This window comes from Homo sapiens, chromosome 15, assembly GCF_000001405.40.
Source record: "Homo sapiens chromosome 15, GRCh38.p14 Primary Assembly".
NCBI lineage: Eukaryota > Metazoa > Chordata > Mammalia > Primates > Hominidae > Homo > Homo sapiens.
The window spans coordinates 48,177,818-48,204,853 of record NC_000015.10 but is presented as its reverse complement, the minus strand read 5'-3'; the positions used below and the strand labels follow the sequence as shown (position 1 = coordinate 48,204,853).

The 27,036-nt window shown below is 36.6% G+C and overlaps 2 protein-coding genes and 1 long non-coding RNA gene across 20 annotated transcripts in view, besides 4 other annotated features; 2 read left to right on the top strand and 1 right to left on the bottom strand.

The window, feature by feature from the left end:
* Positions 1,096 to 26,416, bottom strand: CTXN2 (cortexin 2). 6 transcript variants are annotated; one of them, XM_047432494.1, is made up of 3 exons: positions 26,208 to 26,416; positions 13,001 to 13,397; positions 1,096 to 3,610 (listed from the first exon to the last, which is right to left on the bottom strand). In XM_047432494.1, exon 3 carries the CDS (start codon positions 3,551 to 3,553, stop codon positions 3,308 to 3,310), a length of 246 nt encoding a protein of 81 aa, XP_047288450.1. In that variant the 5' UTR covers positions 3,554 to 3,610; positions 13,001 to 13,397; positions 26,208 to 26,416; the 3' UTR covers positions 1,096 to 3,307. The 6 variants fall into 6 exon arrangements, with proteins under 6 accessions (XP_047288450.1, XP_016877667.1, NP_001357344.1 ...); XM_017022178.2 differs by having other exon boundaries at positions 13,001 to 13,114; NM_001370415.1 differs by lacking the exon at positions 13,001 to 13,397.
* Positions 12,682 to 13,185: an enhancer, noted in NCBI's record as "H3K4me1 hESC enhancer chr15:48483866-48484369 (GRCh37/hg19 assembly coordinates)". NCBI's record gives its function as "activates a minimal SCP1, AML or CMV promoter by ChIP-STARR-seq in primed H9 embryonic stem cells {active_cell/tissue: H9 hESC(primed)}" and the evidence as "EXISTENCE:reporter gene assay evidence [ECO:0000049][PMID:30033119]".
* Positions 13,145 to 16,774, top strand: CTXN2-AS1 (CTXN2 antisense RNA 1). 4 transcript variants are annotated; one of them, NR_184076.1, is made up of 4 exons: positions 13,145 to 13,212; positions 13,793 to 13,921; positions 14,697 to 14,814; positions 15,345 to 16,774. It is a non-coding gene; the product is annotated as a CTXN2 antisense RNA 1 (long non-coding RNA). The 4 variants fall into 4 exon arrangements; NR_184081.1 differs by lacking the exon at positions 14,697 to 14,814; NR_184082.1 differs by lacking the exon at positions 14,697 to 14,814 and having other exon boundaries at positions 13,145 to 13,269.
* Positions 25,964 to 26,615: an enhancer, noted in NCBI's record as "NANOG-H3K27ac hESC enhancer chr15:48470436-48471087 (GRCh37/hg19 assembly coordinates)". NCBI's record gives its function as "activates a minimal SCP1, AML or CMV promoter by ChIP-STARR-seq in primed H9 embryonic stem cells {active_cell/tissue: H9 hESC(primed)}" and the evidence as "EXISTENCE:reporter gene assay evidence [ECO:0000049][PMID:30033119]".
* Positions 26,318 to 26,417: a silencer, noted in NCBI's record as "silent region_6414". NCBI's record gives its function as "represses an Ori minimal core promoter by ATAC-STARR-seq in GM12878 lymphoblastoid cells {active_cell/tissue: GM12878}" and the evidence as "EXISTENCE:reporter gene assay evidence [ECO:0000049][PMID:35858748]".
* Positions 26,559 to 27,036, top strand: part of MYEF2 (myelin expression factor 2) — a 43,664-nt gene continuing 43,186 nt past the window's right edge. For all 10 annotated transcript variants that reach the window (NR_125408.2, XM_017022287.2, XM_005254424.5 and 7 more), the window contains exon 1: positions 26,559 to 26,777. Coding sequence is in view for 9 of the 10 variants with exons in the window: in XM_017022287.2 (XP_016877776.1) it covers positions 26,617 to 26,777 (161 nt within the window). In the remaining variant the exon portion in view is untranslated. The remainder of the gene's footprint in view (positions 26,778 to 27,036) is intronic.
* Positions 26,588 to 27,017: a silencer, noted in NCBI's record as "silent region_6413". NCBI's record gives its function as "represses an Ori minimal core promoter by ATAC-STARR-seq in GM12878 lymphoblastoid cells {active_cell/tissue: GM12878}" and the evidence as "EXISTENCE:reporter gene assay evidence [ECO:0000049][PMID:35858748]".

Below are 27,036 nucleotides of genomic sequence, written 5' to 3'. Positions count from 1 at the left end.
AAGATTGTGAGGTGAATCATTAGAGATTGGGATAGATATTTTGTCTATAAAAAATAAGTGTAAAGGTAAGTTAGTGAACTGATACAGGATTATAGAAGTGTCTAGAGACACCTAAGTAAAACCCTTTAGATCCTCTTCGTTAAGTAAATGTCATGCTAATCAGTCAGGCTAATGTCGTGAGGCTATATCAGAAATAGAGACAGAATTACAAGTATATACCTATAACTCATTCCACTCTTAAAGGTCACCAGTACAAGGCATTTATCTGTTCAACAAAGGGTTCTGATTCCTCATATAGAAAGTGTTTTGGCATAGGAGTGTCCGATTTCAAATTCAGCTGGGTGGGGCTGGTTGTTTAGATCAAGACAAAGAACAGCTAGGATGGGGCTGGCACCCAAAATAAGTTCTATTCACCAGACCAGGACAGGAGCCATAAGCTGGCATCCTCCAACCCTTTTTGGAGCCACTTATTTACTCTACAACCTTTTTCCTCTACCAATGACTGTGAATACCTCTGATACCAGTCAATTTCCTTTTTCTTGCTGACTGACTGCCTGACTTCAGAGTGGTATGAATTTGTTTTAGTCTTGGTCTTATATCAACCAGACATTTTCATTCTAAGCCTTTTATCTCTCACTGTGAAATGAAAGTCTTTGTTCTCTTTTAAGGGGATTCAGGCATCCTGGAACAAATGGGAGACAGTTTTGGGGGATATGGATGAAATAACACCATCCATAAAGCCAACCTTGAAAGGTGAATCCGATTTAGGCCTTTCAGACAAGCGGGAAAGGTAACAGGAGCAAGCTATCTTGAGGTATGCTCCTCTATCTTTCCTCTGTCCTCTCTGACAAGGCTTTTGGGAAGGGGAAGCTAGAGGCTGATCCAACTGTGACACTGAACATCTATTCCTAGAAGAATTAACATTTCATGAAATTTCCATGTTGTTTTCATGTTGTAACCAGCCTTTTATATTTTTTATATTCTTTCTGTTTCTGAAAATACAGATACTGACTTTTCTATCCCCCAAACCACCCCACCCCCCAAAAAAACTAAGGCACCCAATAGACCACAAATAAAAACCACAGATGAAGACACTTTTGGTTAATAGAATTTTTCTTTAGTGGATTTGGAAATAATATTATGGTAGAGTTAATATACTTGAAAAGCTTATGGGAGTTGAACTTCCAGAAACAATGCTCATATTTCATAAAGTTTTCTTGGTTGTAGAGGTCTTTCTTCCTTTGAAATAAAGATCTGGCCTTGGTTTGTTCTAGTCATCAAAATGGAGGGTCTTGGTGGGTGTCTTCTCTGGGAGACAAATGAAACATCTGGTACTTTAAAAGCCTTGGTCAACAAAGAGACCTAGTTTCCTGGCACACACAATTTTCAGTATGTTCAGTTGAACTTGGCCCAGTGGCCTGTTCTTGGGCCAAGTTACTAACTGGCTATGAGGTGTACCAGGCCTACACTCTTGAACCAACTGGGGTACAGAGAGCCTCCTTGAGGTGAGGATTTGGTCCAGAAGATCCATAGCTAATAACAGATATGTTCTAAATCTATTATGAGATGGAAAGCATCAAGGAATCTCACAGAGACAGCTGGTTTTGGAATTCCATAGACCTGAGCAGTAACCATGCCTATAAGCTATGTAGAAGTGTTGAGGACAGTGTCTAGGGATACAGCAGAAATCAAACTGCCCAAGTTCAATCCCTAACATAACCATTCCCTAGCTATGGTGACCTTGGGAAGCTAGTTAATTTCTCTTAGCTTCAGTTTCTCTTCTGCAAAATTAAGATTAAAAATAAAATGGAAATAGTAGTCTCCAACTCAAAGAATTTATAAGAGTATCAAATAAATTGAAAGTAACTAACTTAGTGCTACCTCTTGGTAATATTAGTCTTGTTCCTTCATGGTATGTTTTGCAGTTCTGTGTTTTCAAAGGACATAAATATTTTTGTATTTATCTCCTGCTATGTTCCTCCATTCTGACTCATAGAGAGTCAGAAGTTTGTAGTTGGAAAGAATTTAGAACTATATAATTTTATCTTTTTATTTCTCAATTGAAGAGAATGAAATACTAGAGAGATTGAATAATTTACACTAAGCCATTGCTTCTTAGGGTTTGAGAATCTCTATTACTGCTACTGATGAGGACAATAAATATTGATAGCAAGGTATGTTTAGATACTGTTTTATGGTTTACAAAATGCTTTCACATTCATTATATCTAATTGGCCCTCTCAATATTGCTGAAGACATGCAGGATGGGTTTCTTAATTCTTGTTGTGCAATATAGGTTCCCTTTAGGTAACTTTCTAGGTCATAAAGCTAGTTCTTGGCTAAGCTAACATTAGAATTCAAATCTCTGAGTTTAGGCTCCTAATCTGAAAAACTTTTCATGATATCTTAAATCCTCATTCATTTCAGATCTCTGGGTTTTCAGATACATTTGTAGCATTCATAGGGCACTAGAATTGAAAAGGATGTTAACACTACTCTTCACTGAAGCTCACAGAGATTAGATGACTTACCCATTAGAGCATAGCTCTACTGGTGGCACAGCTGAGACTGTCTTTGTTTCTGCTTAGAGTACTCTTTCCACTAGGTCATGCTGGAAACTCCCTTTTAAATTCTATTTATGCAAGGGGTAGGGGAGGGAGCATCAGTATGAGGCAGATCTGGTTTGGATTCCAAGCTATGGGATTTTACTGCAAGAGATTCGACAAACAGAAGAGATAGGAGGGTCAGGGCTCTGTGAAATTTGGGGAGCTTTAGGGCCTGTGACTACTTGTAGGCTTTGGGTGTTAGATTTTTGAGATATTTTTTCACCTGTGAACCTTTTGGGCCTATGGTTATTATTAGACAAATAATATTTTGATTATTCTTTGGACTAAATTCTCTGTTTAAGACCTGACTCACTAAAGCTAAAGGGGTCTGAGTCAGGAATGTGGAGGGGATGCCTGGGCTTTTCAGAGGGGAGAGAGCAAGATGCCTTTGGCACAGTTTATTAGCACAAGAAAGGAAGCAGAAATTCAAGGCAGTTGTTCAAGATAAGAATAAAGATGGTAAACATGGCGGCAGCCATCCTTATGCTCTATTCATTGGAAACCTCTAAGTGGGAACAGAGGAAAGTGAGGAATCCCAACAATAGTTTATCATTTACACAGCATGGTGAAGAAATTAGTCACAGATGTTTATTGAATTCACTGAACAAAATGAGCCTCTCTCCCACACCCTCAAGGTAGTTACAATTGTATCCAGAATGTGTCCCGATGGCACAACCATAAAAACCATATAGCTGGAACTCTCACGCGAGTGCATATTCAAATGTCCCTTTATCAAACTCTTCAACTTCATCTTCCCATGTAGAGGAAGGCATGCTACTATATGGGTCTAGCAGGATTTTGAAGCATCGGATAATAAGAAGTCCCAAGAAGATACACAAAATCCCAACAAAAGCAAAGCCAGTTTTTTGCTCCAGAGTCAATGAGAAAGCTGATACTTCGTTGACACTCATCTTAGCTGAAGAGTTGCCACAGTAGGTACTACTCATTATTCACTGGCACATTGTTGTGGCTCTTCACAGTTCCTTCTGGAATCAACTCTTTGCCTAGGTACAAAATTGGACTCAGTTTAGTTTTACCCTTGTATGGTATTGGGTAGGTTGTTGCTTAATAAAATCTGACGTTTTTCAAACCTTCTTGACTTAACTCACAAAAGATGTTTGAAAGCATCATCAGATACAGATTGGAATCAAATTAGCATTGGAGATGCTACTTCTAAATGTTGTAATTAAAGAATTTCCTTTGCGGACACATAAGACTGTGCCCACATACTCTAAATAAATCAAGTATGAAGGTGAATATTCAAATTATCAGCCCTAAAATCTTTTGATTCATTGCTAGACAGTTAGATAGCTGCTTCTTTGATCTGAATTGTCATCTAATTTTCACCTCATATTTGCACGTGTAGGTAGATAATATAAACAATCATAGCATGTAAGCTGCTCAAGCTGTTTAAAGTCCATACTTCAAGGTCTATTTCCAGTGCCATTTTGACTGATATAGATTCTGATCCTTTTAAACAGATATAATGACTTCTTTCTTTTCATCCCCTTAGGTTTTATATGTATGTATTTACATTTTTTTTCTTCACTACCACTGGATACACTGTGTCAATTTCTTAAAGAGAGGAATTATGTTTTTAAAATTACATTAATGCAGGCAGTGCCCAACAGAGCAGCTTGCAAGTAATAAGCAGCAGTGGCTATGGCCATTAGCCACCTCCCCACCATCTCCATTAGCCTTCAGAACACTCTAAGTAAACATAAAATCCAAGTTAAACAGCATGCTTTCTCTGCAAATTCAACTTCAAGACAAGCTCCCCAGTCTCCCTCCCAACAAGATTTCCACTCCTAAGTCCCTATTGTGCTGAGATTCTAAAACTACCACTAAAGCATTCAGAAAGTATATGTTCAACTGAAACAAAATAGGTTTTTTTCCCATTTGATGTCTTAAGTTAGTTAAATGAATTAATTACAAATAAAGATAAATTTAATTAATCAAATAATTACTAATGTACAGCCACCTTTTTTAAGAGGACTGTCACCAAATAGCTTTTCATCCAATAACTGCGAATAATAGACTGTTGGTATTTTCTTTTTTATTGTTGCTTTTTCTGATAATTTTTAAGACTTATATGTATTAAAATTACTGACCCTTGAGATTTGTTTGGACCTAATTTTCAGGAAACAACTGAGACAGAATAAAGGATGGGAGGTAAGGAATGAAGAAAGAGAGTAAGAAAAGCAGGACTTGTAGCTTTCAAAGTTATTCTGCAAATAATACACCAACTAATATCAATCAATATTTTGTTTTATAATGATTTAGATTACAAAAAAGCTCTATCCTCAAACCTTAAGTGGTAGAAATATTCAATAATTATGGCTTATGTTCATTGTTTGATTTTTTTGTTTAGTAAAGGGAAAAAATATTGTTCAAACCCCTGTTGAGTTTCTTTCCACTAAGTCATTTTTTGTCCTAATCAATATAGTATAGTGAGAAGACTTTAGTTTTTTAAACATAGGGACACTTATTGGCTGAGAATGATCTTCCTGAAGATTGAGTTCTTGTTGTAGTATTTATCCTGTAAAAGGCACAGAGGACTGGATTGAATCTCCAATGACTCTGAGACTTAACTGGAACTTCTTTTGCTGACTAAATGTCTAATTTTCTTGCTTTTGTCAATTAAAAATCATTTGTTAAGATCCATATACTCACTGGATCATTTATTTAATGGAAGGAGAAACTGAATAGCAGGATGTTTCTCTATAGAGATGTTGGACCAAGGAGATGATTCAGCCAACTAACTTGTTCATTTAGTTTTTTACTAGAGCATAAACTTGCTGGGCTACAACATGTGGATATTTCAGGGGATATGTGGGTAAGAGGAGGCAATAAACATGGTTTATGGATGGACGCTGTGGTTTCCCAATAGATTTCCTTCAGTGAAGGACTTATTGCCCAGCAACAAAGAATGTTGGCAGCAAACAGTCTTCAGCTGTCAGCCCCTTTCACTGATTGCCTCGATTGCAGAGAGCTGCTTCACCCAAAGTCGTGGCCCTTCCCAGGGAAGACCATACTCAATCATTGATTATATAATAGTATAAAGGTGTGGCCATCTTGTATCAAAGGGGGTCAACTCTAAAATCTATTTTAGCTTCAGAGTTCTAGATGGGGTCAGCAGAGACTGTCATTGGGTCTATAGCACAGTTCAATTTCTGGCCACTCCTGTTTAATTCCCCACTCTTCCATGGGTGCTGAGCCCAAGGACAGTCCTCAATAAAAATTCAGCAAACTAACTTCTGTCTCAGAGACTGGCTTCTGGAGGACCCAACCTTTAACAATTGACATCACAAAAGTTAAAGCACCTGGGCAGTTTTAATGATCTGTTCATTTTTCAACTAGTTCTTTTTGTTATCATCTAGCAGTAGCCTAAACTGATTATAGTTATGATGTTAGCTAAATTTATTTAGGTGTTTTGAAAATGCATAATGTAGACACAGACACAGTATCATAGCTGATTGTTGGAAGAGTGAAGTCTGTTGGCTCTTAACCAGTGATTAATCCACTACGCTCTTATTTTTCTTAAAACCTACTAACCAACAAAACAAACCAGCAAAAAGAGGCATTTTTTAGAGGCAGCAATAAAACATTCTTGTCATTTGTTACTATTAGTTTAAAACAAGGCATCTTCCTAGTTAGACAAACAAAATCCTTTTATACTTTAGAATATAATATGTCCATCATACAGCGAATAATACTTTGTTCCTAGAGCCTTAGATGATATGTAAATTAATGAGTTATTTATCATTTTTAAATGGAAAATAATTACTTCTCACATAGTGATCACAGTTCCCAGCACACTGTAGGTATTCAATACATATTTTAATTGAATTAAACTAAATATTTTGAAGAATATATTTTTTGAGGAATAAAGTCCTTCAAATAAAGTTTTGTACAAAACTCTAGTTTTTAGATATCCAAAAAGCATGCAAATACATTTAGTTAAAATGAAAAAGAAAATTTTTATTTGATTTCAAAAATTGGATTTGAAAATAAGTATAAAAACTCAGTAGCTCTTTCAGAGTTCAGTGTTTTTGTTCTTTTCTATCAAATTTACTTAGCATTCTCAGACTTACATCATTTTTAGTATTCAAATGTGGAGAAAACAGATCTTTCCTAACAACCTTGGGAGTTTCCTTTTGTTTTCTAAGGAAAGGTATATAGCCATCTTATATTTTGGCATTAGTTTGTGCCAGGAAGTACAGGGTTAAATTTTGTATTCAACTGTAGTGACATTGGTTAGCTTAAGATTTCTGGTATAATTACTCCTTCTTCCTCTGTGCCTGCCCTCTACATTACTTGACTGTTACCCTTAACTAAGAAGGTATTGTAAGATACTTCAAAGGCTTTTGGAATCAGGTAAGGGCATAAAGAATGAGTAGATATGCAGAGTCACTGTTACTGAATAAACAAAGTCACCATTTTTATACTACCTTGGAGGAATAGATGAATGGCTATTTCATGGCTTTAAACATAATTTATAAGCACTCTGTGTCTCTATTATTGGTACAAATATAGCAGCAATGCAGTATAACTAGGGAAAATGCTGAGAAGTGACCAAAAACTGTCAGAATGCTGTTAAGAAATCTAAAGAGCTAAATGAACTTAAGGTAACATATAATAATATTTTAATTTATTCATTAACCAAATGTATATTGAGTATCTGTTAGATGTCAGTACTTTTCTTGGTACTAGAGTACAGTGGTGAACTAGATAACAATGTGCACCTGCCAAACTGAGGGTTACATCCAGTGGTGAAGACAGACACAATTATTTAAAAATATCTATCTCTATATATCCATATCTATATATTATACCAGGTACTCATAGTCATAAAGGCTATGAAAGAAAGCAAAGCACGTTAAGTAGAAAGAGAATGATGGTGGATAAGCAGCACTCCTTTAGTTAAAGAGGTCAGCAAAGGCTTCCCTAAGGAGACAATATTTGCCCTGAATGATGTCTAGAAGGGAACCATGAAAATATTTGGAAGAATAGATTTGAAATTTGTGGAAACAGCCTTTACAAAGGCTTTGAGGTGGAAGGGTTTCACATACCATATGTTCAGATCAAGAGATAGACCAATATAAGATTAAGCCCTTTATTTGTACAAGATGGTTTAATGCTATCAAACAACAAAAAAAGGCAGAACTACTTAATCTACTTCTGTCTTTTTAACCAATATAGAATGGGCTTTAGAAATGAAAAAAAAAAAAAATCAAACAATGTAAGCGGATAATACTTCAGTAGAATAATGTTTAGCTACATTAAATGAGTTAAAAATCTCATTTTCAGACAATTTATAACTTGGAGATATACTTTCAAGACTTTTGAGAAATTACAGACCATGAAAAAGCTGCCAGAGGTAAGGACATGGACAAATGTCTCAATTTTCAAGAGGAGTAAGGGGGAATTGTAAAAATTATATATTGGCAACTCGGAATTGATCTTTGTTGCAAACCCATAATTAATTATTTAACAAGTAATTTGTCAATATTTAAGAAGTCATTAAAAGTTAACATGAGTTTAATAGGTAATGCCAATTCACTTCCTTTTCAAAAGTTTGCTACTAATATGATGAATCAGAGAAATAGCATGGACATGGTTTAGTTATTTTGGCAATGCATTTAACAGTCTCCCATGATATCTTTGTGGGGAAGATATGAGATATGCCTGGATAATAGTGTTTTTATGTAGATTCATAGATCTGAACTACCCTAATAAATATCGGGTTCTATAATCATGGACGTGGGTCTCCAGTGTGGTATTACAAAGGTTTCACTTTAATCTACGCATGTTTTCAGTGTTTTTGAACAGTGACTAAGTTGAAGATATTGAAGTGAAGCTTATTAAATTTGACAAAGTGTGGCTGAAATATGATAGCACATGGAAAAAACACTCAAGACAATTCTGATGCCTAGAATTCTGGGTTGAAGCTAGAACATAAAATTTAATAGAAACACTTCTAAAGCCCTTTGTTTAAGTGGGAGGGAAGGAGATGCACCAAATCCAAACAGGGGAGATAATGACTTGGCAATTCATGTAAAATAAATCTGTAAGCTGCAATTAGTCAAGTTAGCCTGAGCCAAAGATATGAGGTGGTGGCTTATAAAAGCAAATGTCTTAAATTGAATAGGGGTGCAAATGATAGAAAGTAATAACATTATTATAATGTGTCAGGCCACATATAAAGTAACACTGCATATATTCACTATACTTTCATTGAAACATATTTATTGGGTTGCTAGTATGCTCTAGTAGACATGCACTCCTCTACTTAAAGGGATTCCAACTAGTAAGGGAGAAGAGCCATGTACACACAAGGAAAGAAACAACAACATAGGCTTCTACAAAAGCAATAAAAAAGGAAGAGGAAGCCAACTTGTATTTAAAATCTACTGTGTATCAAATACTGCTTTACATATTTTATTTTATTCCCACAACACCCACATAGTGTTGATACTATCTTCAACATCTTGGTGAAAAAAAAGAAGATCCAAAAAGGATAAACAAGTTTAGATGAAATCAAGATATCACCCATTGAGGGATCAGGAAAGTTTTTCTTGCAAGAGATTGTATTTGAACTGAGTCTTGAGAGACAGAATGATTCAAATCTGTGAAGAAGAAAAAAGCATGACAATAAATATGAAGGCAGAAAAATACTGGATTTTTTCAGAGCACAGTGAGCAATTTGGTACAGGCAAGGGGGAGTATGGGAAACAAAGCGTTGGAAAGGTAGGTTGGAGCCAAATTGTGAAATATGTTGACTGTCAGGCTAAGAGTTTGAAATCTATTTGCTTAAAGGCTGAGTGGCTTGATGATGAGACTGAAATAGACATAATTTTGAGGGAGAGAGCATCACGGGAAAGAAATGGTTCAGGTGAGAAGCAATGAGGGTCTCCACTAGGGAGTAGATGTATGAAAGAGGGTAGAGGTTGGAAAGATATTTAGAAAAGTAGGAGGGATAGGATTTGGAAAGTAGTGGGCCCAAGGAGAGAGAGGCATCAAAGATGACTCTACACTATTAAGCTCGGACAAGTGTAAATATAGTGTTTTTATTAATCAAAACAAAGAAAATAAGAGCAAAGCATAGACTTAAAAAGTAAATGACAAGTTTATTTCTGGACTTGGTGAATTTGTGGTACTCATGTGTGGCACTTAGTAGGCACTCAATTGTCAGCTTTCAATAAATTTATCCAGATCATTTTGTCTAGCATAAAATTTTTGATGGGGAGAATATTTTAAGGTATTGTTGTCAAATAACGTTTGTGTAGAAGACTTTATACAGGATGGAGAGAGCCCAGTACATAGAAATATTTGCAGATCAAAACTTAAAGAGAAGAAAAGAATTGTTGAGTTTTGCCTAGGAAAGGGAAGACCAAGAAGGACAATAGGTAGACTCAAATATTTGAAATATTATCTTGTAGGAAGCCAGATGGACTTGTTCTAGATTGATCCAGAGAGCAATTTTACTGTAATTCCATTAAAGTCTATTTTCTGTTACCAGAAAAGATTAAAGATGGAAGAAGCCTAGCAAGGAACTCCAAGGAATGCCTCTCCTACAAGGAGGATCTCCTAGTGGAGTTATATAAGATGAATCATGAGTAAATCTGTAGCAGAAAGTTCACCTATAATAAAGGAGGCTAGGGCTTCTAGAATGAGGCATTAGCAAACAGTGTCAAATTCTGCAGCGGTGATGGAAACTAAGCACTGGAAAACAGGGTCTTATGGTTGGCATTCAGAATTATTTCATCATTATAAAAATTTAGTTGAGAGTCTAGGAGGGACACTAAATTGAATTGGATTTAGGAGTGAGGGGTAATGAGAAAATGGAGTCAGGTGGTAAATAAACTTGACAGAAAATAAGTTTTACTTAGTCGGTACAGAAGGTTAAATCATATGATGAATCACTTTCAATAATGAAGACATGACTGCATATTCAGTTTTTAAAGGAAGAGCTCCATAAATTTACCTGGATTCAAAGAACTGTAAAATTTCCATTTTTAACAAAAAAAAAATGGGTTGAGAAAGAACAAATGTTTTATTAATATCTTAAAAGAGAAAACAGGCTTTTATATTTATCATAAAATATACTTTATACTAAAGATGAAAACAAAATACAGGTCAAGGAGAGCAACTGAAAAAGTAATATTCAAAGGCTGATTAAAAATTTGTCCATTGCTGCAGGCTGTGCCTACACAAGCAAATAGAAGTAAAAAGTTAAGCAATTGCCTAACAATGTGTTCAGCAAATAGATGGTTTTAGTAATTTAAACCATATATATAGCAGTTGAAATATCAGTATTTCAGGCCTAAATTTTTCAAACAATTGGCCAAACTTTCCATTTTACTTGCTCTGTGAAATGAAGAACTTGTCTCATTTCAACAACAAATCCAAAGTTTTTGAGGATATACTGTTAAGTGTGCCAAGTCCTGCTTTTCTACTGATATAGAGCATAATATGATATGAAAATATTGTTAATAACAAAATATTATTAAAAACAAAAGTCCCCAGTTATAAAACTGATTCATTCACAATTACTAAGGTGTTCAAAATACTCAACAGTTATAGATAAAATATGCATTTTCACTTTCTCTAAAAGCTGGAAGAGCTATTCACAACAGACACTGTAATGCCTAGCTCCAGAGAAGCATCATTTTAATATCCTGTTTATTGGGAAATAGAAAAAAAAAGAAATCTGAGAAAATTTAGATTAAGTTACAAAACCATATATTAAAAAATCCATATAAAAATAGTTAAGAAAAAATGAACTTTCAAAAATAAGTAGAATGTAAAATTGGGTAGTGGTAAAAGTTATTTGAAATATATTATACCACAAAATTGGGTAAAATAAACAATGCACAGTTTAAATATCAGGATCAATATATATAATGATTAAAATATTTAAGTGTCTTTTAATACTACTGATGCAAATGATAAAATATTGTCTTGAGCCATATTCACTGGAATAAATGGTTAGGTACTTTGGCAATGAGTAACTTGGTTGAAAGTACATTTCCTTCATGGCAATTGTCAGGCACCAAGATTTCTAAGTACTGATGAGTCATAAGATTGGGCCAGGGGTGTTCCTGTAGATATCAAATAGCCCAAATCTCATGAAGTTGCTTTGTAATTGGCAACTAGTAAGTAAAAAACAAAGTCTTCCTATGATCAGTACTTACAAATCATATCTCCGTAAGCAGTTAAGCAAAGATGATAGTATTTTTATACCTGATATGCAGCCTTTCATATTCATGAATATTGTTAGTGATGTTTATGTCTTCTGTGAAATAACCTTACTAGAGATATAAAAATATACCTTTCAGATAAAATCATTTAATCATGCAACAATGCACAATTACAGAAACTAATGTTAAAAAGTGTGTACCCATTAAAGAAAGAACCTCCTGTGTTTTATTTTAATCAACAGGTTTTTCCTCTTGTTTATTTCTCTAGTAATGGTATTCCAAACAATAAACCTGAAATAATAACTATTAGAGTGGAATATGATGTTCTAGGTAGAAAGTATTTTAGCACTGGTCATTAGATATAATAATCTCTACTGCTAATGATGACATTCATAATTTCATGAAATAAGACATATAAGAAAACCCAAGCTTAAAAAATAATGAACCATTCCATACATATACACACTCCACACAAAATATAAAGATTATATCCCAGTAAAAGAGAGAAAAGAAGCATTATTGAAACCACATCTGCACAGAGGTAGTTAATCATTAAGAATCGAATGTGTTGGAATAAAAGGAAAACCTTAAATTACAAACCTAGATGTCTTCATCATGGTGAAATGCATAAATTTCAGGGCTTTCCAGAGATCCCAGACCTTAGGATCTGCCAGAATCCACCCCTAAACCCTCAGATTTCAACCTTAAGAGAATTTCTCTCTTAAGAGAATCTTTGGATGGCTCAAGGACTCTGACACTCAATCCTTCCAACGCACTGGGAAACCTGGTCTGAAAATTCTCCAGATATCTCATTAAAGAAACCTAGACCATCATCATCATTCTGCGTTGTTTGTTTCCAGGTCTCTTTCTACGCACTAAACCGAAGAAGCATGGAAACTTCCTACAAAACATTATGGGAGAAGCATCAGCAATCTGCACGTACACAACACTTTTCCCCCGCCTGGCAGCCGCATCAGCAGTGGCGCTAGCATTAGGGGTGCTGTTTCTCCTTTAGAATTTGAACTTATCAGACCTACTGGCTCCTCCACCCACCGCCCCACCCCCCGCTCTTTTGCTTCAGAAATACAAGAGAATGAGGACATGCTTCTCATCTGGACCTGCATTTGGAACGCTGTCAGTTAATGCGGAGGGAAGGGGGAGAAAGTTACTTCGCAGACAGCGATGTCTCACCTTCCATGCTTGTTGCCATGGAGATGAAGTCCAGCCAGTAGACTTAAGTGTTGGCACGTTTGTCTGTGTTCGCTGATCGGTTCAGTAACAAATGTAGAAGGCGTGTTCTGGAACCTGCGTAGAGTCACAGGGCCCTGGTTAGCGCTTTCCTGGCCTAGAAGTGTAAATGTCTGTGTCTGTTGGTGAGACAGAGGACGTGGGCGCCCGCCGAAGTACGTGTGCGCGCGCGCGTTTGCAGGAAAACGTGCATGGATTTCTTCGGTGTGGCAGTGTGTAAATATTTGCGCTCGCGTGTGTCTGTGGCAGCATCTGTGTGTGTATGTGAGACTGAAAGGAGGTGGGAGATGAGGAGGGGAAGGGAATCAGCTCCAGCAGCAACAGGCTCTATTCTTCAGTTCTGCTAAAAGAAAGAGGAAGAGAGGAAGAAAAAAATAGACACTCCTTTTTTTTCTCACGACACACCCTGAAGGTTAGCAATTAGATTTCATCATTATCTTTGTTTACTAAGGCAGTGAGGGTTTAATTGATTTACTGCTGAAATCCTTGTTTTGCTCTCTTTGCTGCATTCCTGGCTGTGCTGCGGGCATTTTGCTGTGCTTTGGTGACAGCCGTTTTCAGTAGAACAGTAGGCACTAAATTCTTACACGTTTCTTCTTATCCGGTAAGGAAAATTCAGGAGTGAAAGGTGTATTGATTTAACTGGAGACTGAATGTGTCGTTTGGAGTTCTTTTCCTCTACTCTTTCCCTTCTCTCTTCCACACAAACACAACTGAATCCCCTTCCGTTTCTAGGAGAAGGCGCCTAGGCGCTGTCCGTAGTGCTGAAATGGTGCGTGGTGAGACCTGTCTCCCCAACACAAGCTAGAAGACAACAAAATAGCAGCCAGGAAACGCTCTGATAAAGCTCTAGATAGCTGCCAGGTACGTTTTCTAAACAGTGTTGAATATGTAGATTCTAAACCTAACCGACGTTGAAAGCAAGGTAAAGCAAAGCAAAGCAAAGGAAAACAAAAAAACAACAACAGAAACCTTGCTCTTTATCCTTATTTTAGGGGTCTGGCCGTTTCAACAAACTCAGTTACAGGGTTCCCAATTCTATTTATGTTTTGCGACTCTATCCAGAACCTACAAGTTGCAAGCACTTTTAGATTCCCTACAATCTTAATTATTCACCTTATAACTACTGGACTGTGAGTCGTTGGGGGAAATGTAGATACAGAATTGGGACACTCATCTAAAGAAAATACTTTGAAAACGTAATGTAACTGCAACTAGATTCAATAACAAAGTGAAGACAAACTTCATGATTATTTAGAGTATTTACTGATTTAGGAAATGTAATGGTCTTACAAAAAAATGGGCAATGTATAACTGAGAGTTCATATAAGACCACATTTTTTAAAAGTTGTTTTTTGATTTTAAACTATTAAGATGTCCTAAAATGTAGGTGAACTAACTGCCCTCTATGAAAGACTGAAAGACATATCTTATTCTAGGGACATTTCCATGGCCATGGTTTTATTGACCCTTTTTAAACTTGCCAAGGGCCACATTCTTTATTAGCACTCTGGGCTGGAACAGTGCTTCTTGAAGTATAACATGCATATGAATCTTCAACGATCTTGCTAAAATGCAGACTCTGATTCAGTAGGTGTGGGGTTGGGTCTCAGATTGTGCTTTTCTGACAATTTCCTAGGTGATGCCAGAGATTACTAGTTTTGGGACCAATTAAAGTAGCAAGATGCAGCCAGGAGTGGTGGCTTATGCCTGTAATCCCAGCACTTTGGGAGGCCGAGGTAGGAGGATCACCTGAGGTGAGGAGTTTGAGACCAGCCTGACCAACATGGCGAAACCCTGTCTCTACTAAAAATACAAAAATTAGCTGGGTGTGGTGGTGGGTGCCTGTAATCCCAGCTACTCAGGAGACTGAGGCAGGAGAATCACTTGAACTCAGGAGGCGGACATTGCAGTGAGCTGAGATTGTGCCACTGCACTCCAGCCTGGGTGACAGAGCGAGACATTGTCTCAAAATAAATAAATAAATAAAAATAAAGTAGCAAGATGCTAGAGATATTGAATTCTGGCAATGCAGTCAGTCATAGATTGTGGGAAAGGAGATCATTTTATTCCATCTATTATTCTATGTATGTTTCCAAACTGTTACAAAAATAATTTATTCAAAATTAGTTCAGAGACTAATCATGTAAACATTTTGTCTGTACAGTATGAACAATTTTTTATGAATTTGATTCCTTTGATTTTGATTTTGACATTGTCTGGACCAGTGGTATAGTTGAGTCTGTATTTCCATACTATGATCTATAACCATTCATTCTCTTTGCAGGCCGAGCTCAAGGGAGCAGAACTAAGTTACATGATTCTGCTGCGGATGTATAAGCACCACTCCAATAATTTATTATCACGGTTGGAGACTTTGACTTGTCACTTTATGACTTGAAATATGGCTCCATGGTAAATGCCCATAAAGCTGATTTTTAAAATCTGGATATTACAGTTCTAATTCTCACTTAGTTTAAAAGGTAGAATAGGCTTCTTGTTTCATAGATCATTTGTGTGAATGTTGATTTGTTATGTCATTGACATCATACACACATGCTTACATTTTGAAGGTTGCTAGCGTTTCCCATTAATGCTTCTGAATTGATGCCAAAGGAAAGCATTGATTATAAATTAGGTTCCTTGGTATTAGTTGGTGCATGACCCTGACCCTTTTCAAGCTATATGAAAGGTAATGATGCTCTCAAAAGCCTGCAAAATGGCTTATTCAGGAAAGCATAATGGATTAAAAATCCATTAGGTTCCACTTTCTTTGCTAGATGCTGAGATACAAAGATAAATGAGATTTGGTCTCTGCCCTCGAGGAGATACGTGGCAAAATAATATGGTAAGTTCTACAAAGTTCTATACAAACACAGATTAATATGCTATTCATGTTTTATTAGCCATTGCCAAAGAAGGGATGAAGAACTGCAAAAAGATAAAACACAGAATACTTGTACTTCAGGTCCTTGCCAATATCTACTGCCCAACTTTTACAAAAAAAATTGCTGAAAGGCATGAAATATATGAATGCCTTTCTAAAGCACATGTGGATAATCTATACTTCTGGAGCATCTATGATTTATTTTCAGAACAATCCAAGTTATTAGAAAGGTAAATATGTTGGTGACATTGTTTAGAAGTTCCTCAAGCAGAATTGCCTTTACTATGCTTTGACATTATGCTCTCAGCTTATATACAGTAATTCTATGTGAAACAGTAGCCAGCTTACACAACCTGCTCTATATCTACTACAGAGCTGTTACTAAAGTGTTGGTCAACATATAACTTACTATTTCTTATATAAAGATGCCCAAGAAATTTAGATTTCATAGATATATCCCCAAAAGCATTTCTTTCAATACCAGTTTAATGAATTGAACTTTCATACCTCACTTAAATCAACCCAGGGTAAAGTGGTATGTTCTGTTCTTACACACAATGAAAATCATGTAACTAATTAAAGTTAGCATTTATTTTAGCTACTAGGGATGCCAGAGTCAAATTAACAGCTGAAAATGAATAACTACATAAGACCTTAAGCCTTTTATATCTTTTCTTTTTTTTTAATCACCTTAACTACTGCAATTTTGGTTTCTTAGGTAATGATAATATTATTTTCTTTTAATTATTTGTTTTAATGTGTGACCTCATGTAAATGTCCTCATAAAATCAGAAGTGGAGTAAATAAATAAATAAAGTAAATTTCTCTACTTTTTGATTATTGGGTGAGTGTATATGGTTGTTTTATAAATTTATTCTAAATAGGATACTAAAATACAGAAAATGTATCATCTAATTAGCTATGAAGATAAAAATCTAAACTATAATGAGGAAATATTAAAATGTCAAGATGACGAAGAAATTTTTCAGTTTATATAATTATAGATCAGCTTAATTTCAAACCACTTTGTTACCCTATTGCTATTTTTATACTCTAAATAGTGTCCCTTATATGACTAAGACTTTTTGTTATCTCAGAGATTGGAAGTGTTAATTGTCCACCTTGTTAGAAGACATGGTAACTATAGGAATTTAGAAAGCATGATAGCCCAACTGTAATGAATATATTCTAGAATGAGGTTGTCACAAAGAAACTGAAAACAAGAATTTCCTCTAACAACTGAGCTCAGGATTCTTTTCAGAGGAAAATTTAGCTTGCATAAATTCTTGCCATCTTGGCTCTAGTTGACTTCTTGCTCTCAACTTTTGCAAAGTGAGATCACCTTTACCTCTTCAACCTATGAGGCCAACATGTTACTTTCAATTTTTCAGGAAAATCTACGTCTTGTTTGGCTGAGGTTTGATTATTATTCCTTAACTAAAATATTTTAATGTAGCTGTGCTTTTTAATTTGAATATTGCTATTGATTCAAACATTGGGTAGCATATCTTTCAAATGTGAAATTTTAAAACATGTATTAAAGACAAACATAAATTAGTTTTGGTATAACTATTTTTTAAGATTAATCCAATGCTTTTTTGGCTTTAGATGATGTTTGGTAATTAGCTATATTCAAAAGTCAACCTTTTTTTTTTTTCAAAAAATGAACTCCTATGTATATGAGTGTTATTTTTATCTACCCATGTCTTTTTTGTCTACATATACAGTTTTAATCATTGTTTCGGGGGGAGGAATAAGAATGATTTTGAAATTTCACTAAGAAAGATATGCCCTCTTCCTAAAAATACATATATACAGATGTTTTGCTCACAGCTCAGGTATTCATGGATCTCTGGAAGTTCATTTTTATAATCCCAAGGTAATCCAAAGAGCCTGCTAAAAAATTCTGCTGTAAATGCATGGTACATGATCTCATTCCCTGTTTTACAACGAAGTATTGAATGGCTTAAACTCCTACTTTTTTTTTTTTTTTTTTTTTTGAGATGGAGTCTCCCTCTGTTACCCAGGCTGGAGTGCAGTGGCTCGATCTCTGCTCACTGCAACCTCTGCCTCCTGGGTTCAAGCGATTCTCCTGCCTCAGCCTTCTGAGTAACTGGGATTACAAGCACATGCCATCAGGCCTGGCTAATTTTTATTTTTTTTTTGTATTTTTAGTACAATCAGGGTTTCAGCATGTTGGTCAGGCTGGTCTCGAACTCCTGACCTCATGATCCGCCTGCCTTGGCTTCCCAAAATGCTGGGATTACAGGCGTGAGCCAACGCGCCTGGCCAACTCCTACATATTTTAAAGCCACCCCATTAGTTTTCTATTTTTTTCCCCTTGGAGATCTTCCTTTAGGTCATTTTTACCATCTGATATCTCAAAACTAAGCCAAGGCTGAATGTGCTGAAATAGGATTAGAGAGTACAGTAATAGGATAATTAGATTTGATTAGAAAATGACTGTGTGGGATTTTGTCAACAGTGAAGAAATGATCTAAGTATGTGGACTCCTAAGTGAATTGAGCATGATGACACTTTAGTGTAGTTAATGATCTAATGCTGGTCTGGTTGATGAGTCCCATTGAAAATGAGATGCTCTGTTTTCTGGTAAACTTTTCTGCAAAGAAAAATGTACTAAATGTTTCAGTTCAGAGTGTTCTATTTAAATGAAATTTCATTTAATTGCTTTTAGTTTTACTGCCCATAAGCCTTCAGTTGTTTCATTTAAAGTGTACTTTAAGCCCTCCACTATATTCACTGTTGAATCTAATGAGTATGAGAGGGTACCTTGGGCACAATCTCCACGAATGTATGAGCCATAACTACAGTATAGTATATAGAGATTAGCTTAAGTTATTTTGCTCTGCTAAAGATAGAGAAACAAGAGCAGTTTTCTAACATAATGTATGCTTCTGTAATAGGACTCAGTTAAAAAATAATTGGCAAATAGGAATGTCAATGAAATGTGGAAATCAATTGTTTTATACATGATTTTCCCCAATACGTTAATGTTTTGACTACCAAGTAAAAGCAGTTGCACTCTAAGTCCACTAACACAGCTGAAGGTAGTAAGCTGTGGAGGAAAGTAGTCCTATATATAACACCCATTCACTCCTCCTTTTTCCTCTTGGCTTAATTTCACCATACGATCTGTCTTGAAAATGCTTATTGCACAATTCTTCCTGATCTTTGTGCATTTGTCCTTGTTTTTGTAACTCAACCTTTGGTTTATTTATTCCATCATTCTTTCCTAACTCAAACAAATTTGTGAAGTTCTAAATGTATTGAAATATATGTCGTAACTTTTATTTTTAATTGTGCTAGCATTTTCTTAGCTTTGTAAATGTTTTTTGCAGTGCTATGGTTGTGATGTTATGTAAGTTTTACACTTTTTTCTCCAACATAATTTTTTCCCGAAATATTGCCAGTTATTTTTGTTATTGAATAGACTTAATTTTCTTAGAGCAGTTTCAGGATTACAGAAAAGTCAGAGAGTACAGAAAGTTCCCATATATCTCCCATCCCTTTTCTCACAGTTTCACTTGTTATTAACATCTTACATTAGTGTGGTACATTTGTTAACAATTGATAAAACAATTTTGTTACATTATTATTAAGTACACAGTTTACACTAGAGTTTATTCTTTTTGTTGGTCAGTTCTATGAGTTTTGAATAGTGTATAATGTCATATATTCACCATTATATTGTCATGCAGAATAGTTTCACATTTCTGAATATCCCCTATTTATCCCTTCCTCTTCCCCTCACAAACCCCTGGAATCCATTGATCTGAAACTGTCTTGCAGTTTTCTCTTTTCCAGAATGTATGTATAGAGTCATACAGACTCTGTTGCCCTTTCAAACTGGCTTCTTTCATTTAACAACACGCATGTAAGCATCCTTCATGACTTTTCATGGCTTGATAGCTCATTTATTTTTTATTGTTCAATAATATTTCATTGTATGGATATGCCACAGTTTATTTATCTATATATCTGTTGAAAGATATCTCGGTTACTTCCAATTTTTGGCAATTATGAATAAAGATACTATAAATATTTGTGTGCAGGCTTTTGTGTGGACATAAGTTTTCAATTTGTTTCAGCAAATAACTAACAGCGTGATTGTTGGATTCTATGGTAAGACTATATTTAGCTGTGTAAGAAATTGCCATACTGTCTTCCAAAGTGGCTGCATCATTTTGTATTTCTACCAGTAATTAATGAGAGTTCCTGTTGCTCCACATCATCTTCAACATTTAGTGTTGTCAGTGTTTTGGATTTTAGCCATTCCAATAATATATAGTGGTTTCTCATTATTGTTCCAATTTTCAACCCCCAGTACATCTGATGTTAATGATAATTTCATTTGCTTATTTTTCATTTGCATATCTTCTTTGTTTTTGGATATAAGTTCTTTATTAGATATGCGTTTTGAAAAGATTTTATTCCAGTCTGTGGCTTATCTTTCCATTTTCTTAAGTTGCCAGTTATTTTTAATGTATGATTTTGTAGAATGTGAGTTCTTTTTCTTTTTCAGGGTTCTGTGCATTGTTAAAGAATGAACAGTTGTATATTTGGTATCAGAGTTCTAAAGCTAGGCTAGCCAAATAAAAGCCACACCTCTCATATATTAAGCAAAGCTAAACTGAATGAACGTTTATCTGGTGAGATGCGAAGACACTTTAGGCAACTATAGGAGATAATCAGAAAGAACTAAGGAGGGGCCTTCTTTTTCTACACTACCTAAAAGTCAGTATAAAATAAATTGAAGTTAGTGACTATGATCTAAAACAGTACTTAAAAATATGAAGATTTTTGAGGAGAAAATGTAAGCCTAATGTTTTGAGGACTGATTAATTGTAATAATTTTTTAGTCTACAGTAGTTCTACAGTAGTTCCTATGTAACTGTCCCGAGGACTTTAGATAGTGCTCAAAGCAAAGGCACTTGGGAAGAATAAGGTTTGATTTTTCAGAAATGTTGTTGATACTAGTTTCCAGAAATATTCAGAGTGCTGATGCAGAAATCTGGTTTGAAGTACATGGACACTTATGCAAGCCTACATTTGCTCTGTAACGTTGGGACTGTCAGAACATCTAGACTGACCGTACTACCATGCAGTCTCTTTAGTAGCCTGAACGATATTGCAAGGAACTCACAATTGAGATTTGTTAATGGAGTCAAGAGAATAAGATAAGTCACAAGTATTTTTACATACTTTATCTTATTTAGAAGTTCAGGCATTTTTAAATCTAACACACACAATGAATGAATGGATTGTTAAAACAAAATAAAATGGAGACCAGGCTTGAGAACCCTCGGAGCAGACAAAACCAGTTAGGCCATGTAAGAGTAACTTAGGTTATTTCTTGTAAATACCTCTGACAATTGTAAGTAAAACTTAAGTTGTCTTCCAAAAATGGTATAAGATGATGAATTTTAAACCAATCTGTTGTCTGAAAACCTCCATGGTAATAACAAATCATCGTAAAAGTTAAAGTTTCATTTTTGCTTTATAAGCCAGCCTATAATGCCATGCCTCTGAGCTTCCACTTAGCATTTTCGGTTTGAGATCTCTCAGTTTGTAAGTTGTTGTTTTCTATCTATAATTTACACATTTTAAAACATTTGGCCTGATTTTATTTTTCAAAGCACGATTGCACACATAGGGTAACTGTCTCCTTCATATGTGGGTACCTCAGAAAGCATGCCAAATGGTTTAGAAACTGTGCAAAATATTACCTATTGACACTTAGCATCGTTTTTGCCCTTCTAAGTTCTGTCTCCTATGAGACATTTATCAAACTCTGTTGCTAATAGTATTTCAATCTAAATTCTACCAAGGAGAGGCACTGTTACAAAATTTGCAAGGAGGAAGGGAAAGAGAAGCCATCAATTTCAGTAGTGGCTGCAGGTAACTTTGTGGGTATCAGCAAACGGCAGATGGAATGTTAAGTCAGCAGATTCTGGGCACAAGGAAGTCTTGAGACTTATCTTGTTGTTACAGGTCAGAGGGATCCTTGGCCATGGTTCCTTGTGACTCCTGCTCTTCCTAATATTTCAAACTCTAGCAATAGCTCCTGGACCTTTGCCCTCTCAGCCTTACTAATTGTTGTATAAGCCTCTAAGACTTTATGCATTAAATCCTTTCCTAGAGGAAACATCTATAGTGTTTGACTGAGTCAAAAGCTTTCTTTTCCTGACTGATAAAAATAGCTAGAAATGAAAATCATGGAAATATATTTTGTTTATATACATACTGCATATTGCATATACACACATATATATATTCTGCATGTTTAAACACTTTGTGAATTGAAACATAGTAACATGAAATCACTTCAATCTACCATTTTGCAATACACCATGAAAAAATATCACATCAGTATACTACTGAAAAATCATAGCTTTCACCAAACTAGGCTCATAAGCAGCCATCAGGAATGGTGTGACCCTTGAGGAAAAGGGCTGTAATACGGTACAATTTTTGGATTCTGTTTAGTTTCATGAAATGGAGGATCACAGACAGAAATCCAATGGCAATGCCTGAAGGCAATGGAGGTTATTTTCTGAATTATTTGAATAATTGAGGTAAAAGTGGAGTTTCTGCCTGGATTATTCAGATAATTGTCTTAATTCTAAACTTCACTTAGCTAGCTGGTAGAGACCTTTGTATAGGATGTATTTTTGGAATGCTAAATGCTAAAAAAAAAGAACTCCTAAAGTAAGCAGAGCTGTGGTGTAATGAGGGTGTATTGGGGGTGATACAGAGATACGGAGGGAGAGAGAGAGAGAAAGGAGGAAAAGAGAAGAAGAGAGAGAATGGTAAATAGCTAATCGTCAGAATAAGATTAAACTTTACTTTCTACTTGATAGTAACCAATGTCCACATTTTCATCACAGAATGAACTTTCTATAAAAAGGGAAATACATATGTAGATTTCAAATATAAACCATAGTATTTTAAAAAGTTACGAATTCCTTTTTAAGCTTTAAAGAGGTAAATTTTTACTTTGTAAGGTTTAGAAACTTCATGCCTTCAAATCCAGCAATTTATATAGTGAAGCAAATTGACTTAAAAATTATACCATACTTTTTGTTTTACTTCATATTGTTGGTCTTTGCCGTTTAATTCTTTTTTCTTTTTTGAGTTTCTGAATACCCCAGAGAAGGTAATCTATTTATTATGAATTCTAGGGCTAGAATATCAGCACAAATATGGAAGTATTTTTAGAAGCTATTGTCACCATAGAAATGTTAGCCACCATTTTTGTCTAGTTTCTTTTTCTTTTAAATTTTATTATTATCCCTAAAACTTAATTCTTAAAGACAAAATAAATTAAAAAAAAGAAGAATGATGACATCCATTCTCTTCTTCATTGGTAACAGAACCCTGGGCAGTAAGCCCAGCCCCCAAATTATTTGCCAACCTCCCCCACAGATGAGTGTGTCATGTGACTAAGTTCTTGCCCATAAGCGGAAGTGTTGTGTGAGACTTCTGGATAGGTCCCTTTTTTTCTGGACTCCTTCTGACCTACAATGCCGACAAGGTGCCTCGATCTCCAGCAGCCATCTTGGGTCATAGGGCAACCTTAAGAATGGAAGCCTCACACTAGGATGGCGAAAGATTAAGGTAGCAGGAACCTGACTTCACGATGACTGTGAAGCTACTATATATCCTCTGGGATGCTCCTTCTGCATTTATTTTACTTAAGAGAGTAAAAATGTATATCTTGCTTAAGACACTATTATTTCTAGTTATTGTTATTAGCAGATGAACACAATTCCTAAGTGATACATATATTAAGGTATTAATTGAAAATATTTTGTGATTTCTAGGATTAGATTTCTAGATACGTGTAATAGCTTTTCCCCTATCCCGCCAGGTACACACACATAAACATGCATTCTAATTTGTAAGAAAGAAAACTAAGTGATTATGTGAAGTTGTACCAGTAATATATTTTGTGCAATTGCAAAGGATAATGCTTTTGCAATGTGAATCATGGGAAAATAAGAATTTGAGCATCACTTAAGAATTTTTCAATGTACCTACATGCACTAAAAAACAAACAAACAAAAAACAAAAAACCAAGGCCGGGCGCTCTGGCTCACGCCTGTAATCCCAGCAATTTGGGAGGCCAAGGCAGGCAGATCACAGGGTCAGGAGATGGAGACCATCCTGGCTAACACGGTGAAACCTGTTTCTACTAAAAATACAAAAAATTAGCCGGGCCTGCTGGCGGGCGCCTGTAGTCCCAGCTACTCAGGAGGCTGAGGCAGGAGAACGGTATGAACGCGGGAGGTGGAGCTTGCAGTGAGCAGAGATGGCGCCACTGCACTCCAGCCTGGGTGACAGAGCGAGACTCCATCTCAAAAAAGACAAAACAAAACAAAACAAACCAAAACAGTAGAGAGGAAGACAAGCAAATACAGAAATGGAATTCAGCAACAGAATATTAATAGTTTTTTCTTTATCTTTTGCAATTAATAGCAAGAAAGGAAGGAAAGATCAATCTATTGAGCAGTCAGATGGAATGGTAAAGATTAATCATTCTCTTCCCTTCAGAAGTTGCCTTAATTCTTTGTCTTTTAAGATCCAGCTCTTTTATAAGGCCCTCACCAATCTCTCAGTAGGAATTAACCTCTGCTCTTTATCAGGACTAGAACCAAGCTACAGCGGGTGAGGCATTTGTCTTGGGTACAAAAGTTAAAACTCAGTAATCAAGATAAATATTTTAATGGAATATTTTAATTGGCAAACTAAGGCATGTGGGCCAGTCTCCTGTTTTTGTAAATAATTTTTTAATTATACTTTGCTTTTATTTGTATTATAGCACTTAAATAGTACTTTTTACATTAGCCCTCTCCCAACAGGGCTGTACTCATTTTTGTATTCCTCATGTACCTACTACTCTGTTTGAAGCATAAAGGCCTCTTAAAAAAATCTTGCATTGAGTTGATTAAAGGATTTTTGCAAGAATATATTGTACTGGTGATGGTGGGGTTCAATTTTCATACTGAATTCAACAATAGCAAAAGAATAACAGAATGATGACTATTTTGAAAGTACTTATAATTTAGTGCTGTGGGAAAAATCACTTGGCTTGTCTTTGACTAAAACCCTGCTGAGCTTAGGGAGATAGAGAATTGTAATATTACATTATGTTCATATAGCACTTTTTCCTACATAAAGTGCTTTCTTTTAATCCTCACCTCAATCCTGTAAGGTCGGTATTGCTATCCCTATTTATTGTAGAGAGATTGAGAAATGAGGTGACTTGCCCAGGGAGTTATGGGCAAAAAGAGGCAGAGCTGGGGTTCTAACCCAGATTTTGTCTGTCACAATTGAATGCCCTTTCTGCGATTATAAATCTTATGTCTCAGAGTTGAATGAGAAACAATTTATACAGCAACTACAATAGCATTCTTATCATTAAAATGTTCTGATTATGTGTGTGTGTGTTTGTGTATGTGTGTGTGTGTATGTGTGTGTGTGATGAAGTAGCTGAACTTGGTATTTTTCGGTAGAGGGTAGGAAACTACACATTGAAAAGCCGAAGATGAAATTATGTTATTTGAGTATTACTTTCTAACTATAACTTTACCACTGATGTGTGTATGATATTCTGCAAAGTGACTAAACTGTACGTGTTTGCTTCTTCATGGAAAAAAAATTTGGGAAGGCATTTAAACTTTTCAGCTGAAAAAGGTTATGTCAATGTGAAAGATTATAGTACTCGAGAATTAGGAGTTGATTAAATTTAACGGTTTCCTTTTCATACTTAGGGGGAAAAATCTACGACTGTATTTTAAAACTCCATATGGCAATTAAATTTGAGAGCGTATAACTAACTACTTCACTAGAATTTCCATCAGTATACAATAAACACACAGTCAAAACCTCAAATGTCCATTATTAGCCCATCTAGTAGACGATATTTTATAATTATGGATTCCCCATATTGATTGATGTCCAGAGAAAAACTGCAGTCTTCTCTTACTAAGCTGATAGTTGAGTTCCTGGGAAATCCTCACCCCCTAAGAACAAATAATTCTCAAAGAAATTCAAAGTCATTCCTTTTGGTGAATTGCAATCAGTCATCAATAACTATTTATGGAATGTCCGAAGGGTGCCTAGGCATTGAAATGGCAAGAGACTTATATTTGCTTAATTCAAAGGATTTCTAAAGGCAGTCTGAGGACTTGCAAGAAGTCTTTAAAGATGCAAAGTGGTGTGTTCTTTAACTGCCCCTACCTGGAATGAATTGAACAGTCTGGGTGTTAGGGCTTTGATGTCTAATCCCGCTTTGCAAGCGAAGACTCCACTGGTGCCAAGCGACAGGCGGGCTGGTGGGCAGACATGGCACCACCACCGGGGGCTTTCAGGACTGGTCCAGCCCTCCCAGGCAGGTGTAGGGCCGACTGCAGCAACAGCGGCCCTGACCCCAGCTCCCATGGCTCCCCTCCCCCCGCACTCCCACCCCCCGCACCCGGCACACACCATCTCCCAGTCACCCAGTCTCGACCGGTTCTCGCGAGATCCGGGTTACTGAGCGCTCGGGGCCTTTTCAAATCGGGATCCGTTACCGCTTCCCCGGCAGCCGCCATTGTCGCGCTCGGAGCCCCTCAGCTCAGGCGGCCGAGGCGGAGGCAGCGGCGGCGGGATGGCGGACGCCAACAAGGCCGAGGTGCCCGGGGCCACTGGTGGCGACAGCCCGCACCTGCAGCCCGCAGAGCCGCCGGGCGAGCCGCGGCGAGAGCCGCACCCCGCGGAGGCGGAGAAGCAGCAGCCGCAGCACAGCAGCAGCTCCAATGGCGTTAAAATGTATTGTCTTTTCCTCCGGGAACCGGGGCGAGGTGGGGGGCGGGGAGTCTACCGGGCGGCTAGAGGCCGGGCTGTGCCCCGATGGGGGACAACCACCCCCAGACCCCGGCCCGCCCCCGGGCCATCGGCTTCCTGAGGAGCAGGTGCAGCTGGGCCGCTCCCAGGCCCTTCCCCGCCCGCCCCAGGCCTGGCCGCCTGTGGTCTGGGAGCCGGGGCTGGGGGCCCGGGGACCAGCGCTCTTCCCTGATTTCTAGCCCGA

What these genes read in the sequence shown, in the direction of transcription:
- CTXN2 (XM_047432494.1), bottom strand. Translation starts at nt 3,553, where the DNA reads ATGAGTAGTACCTACTGTGGCAACTCTTCAGCTAAGATGAGTGTCAAC.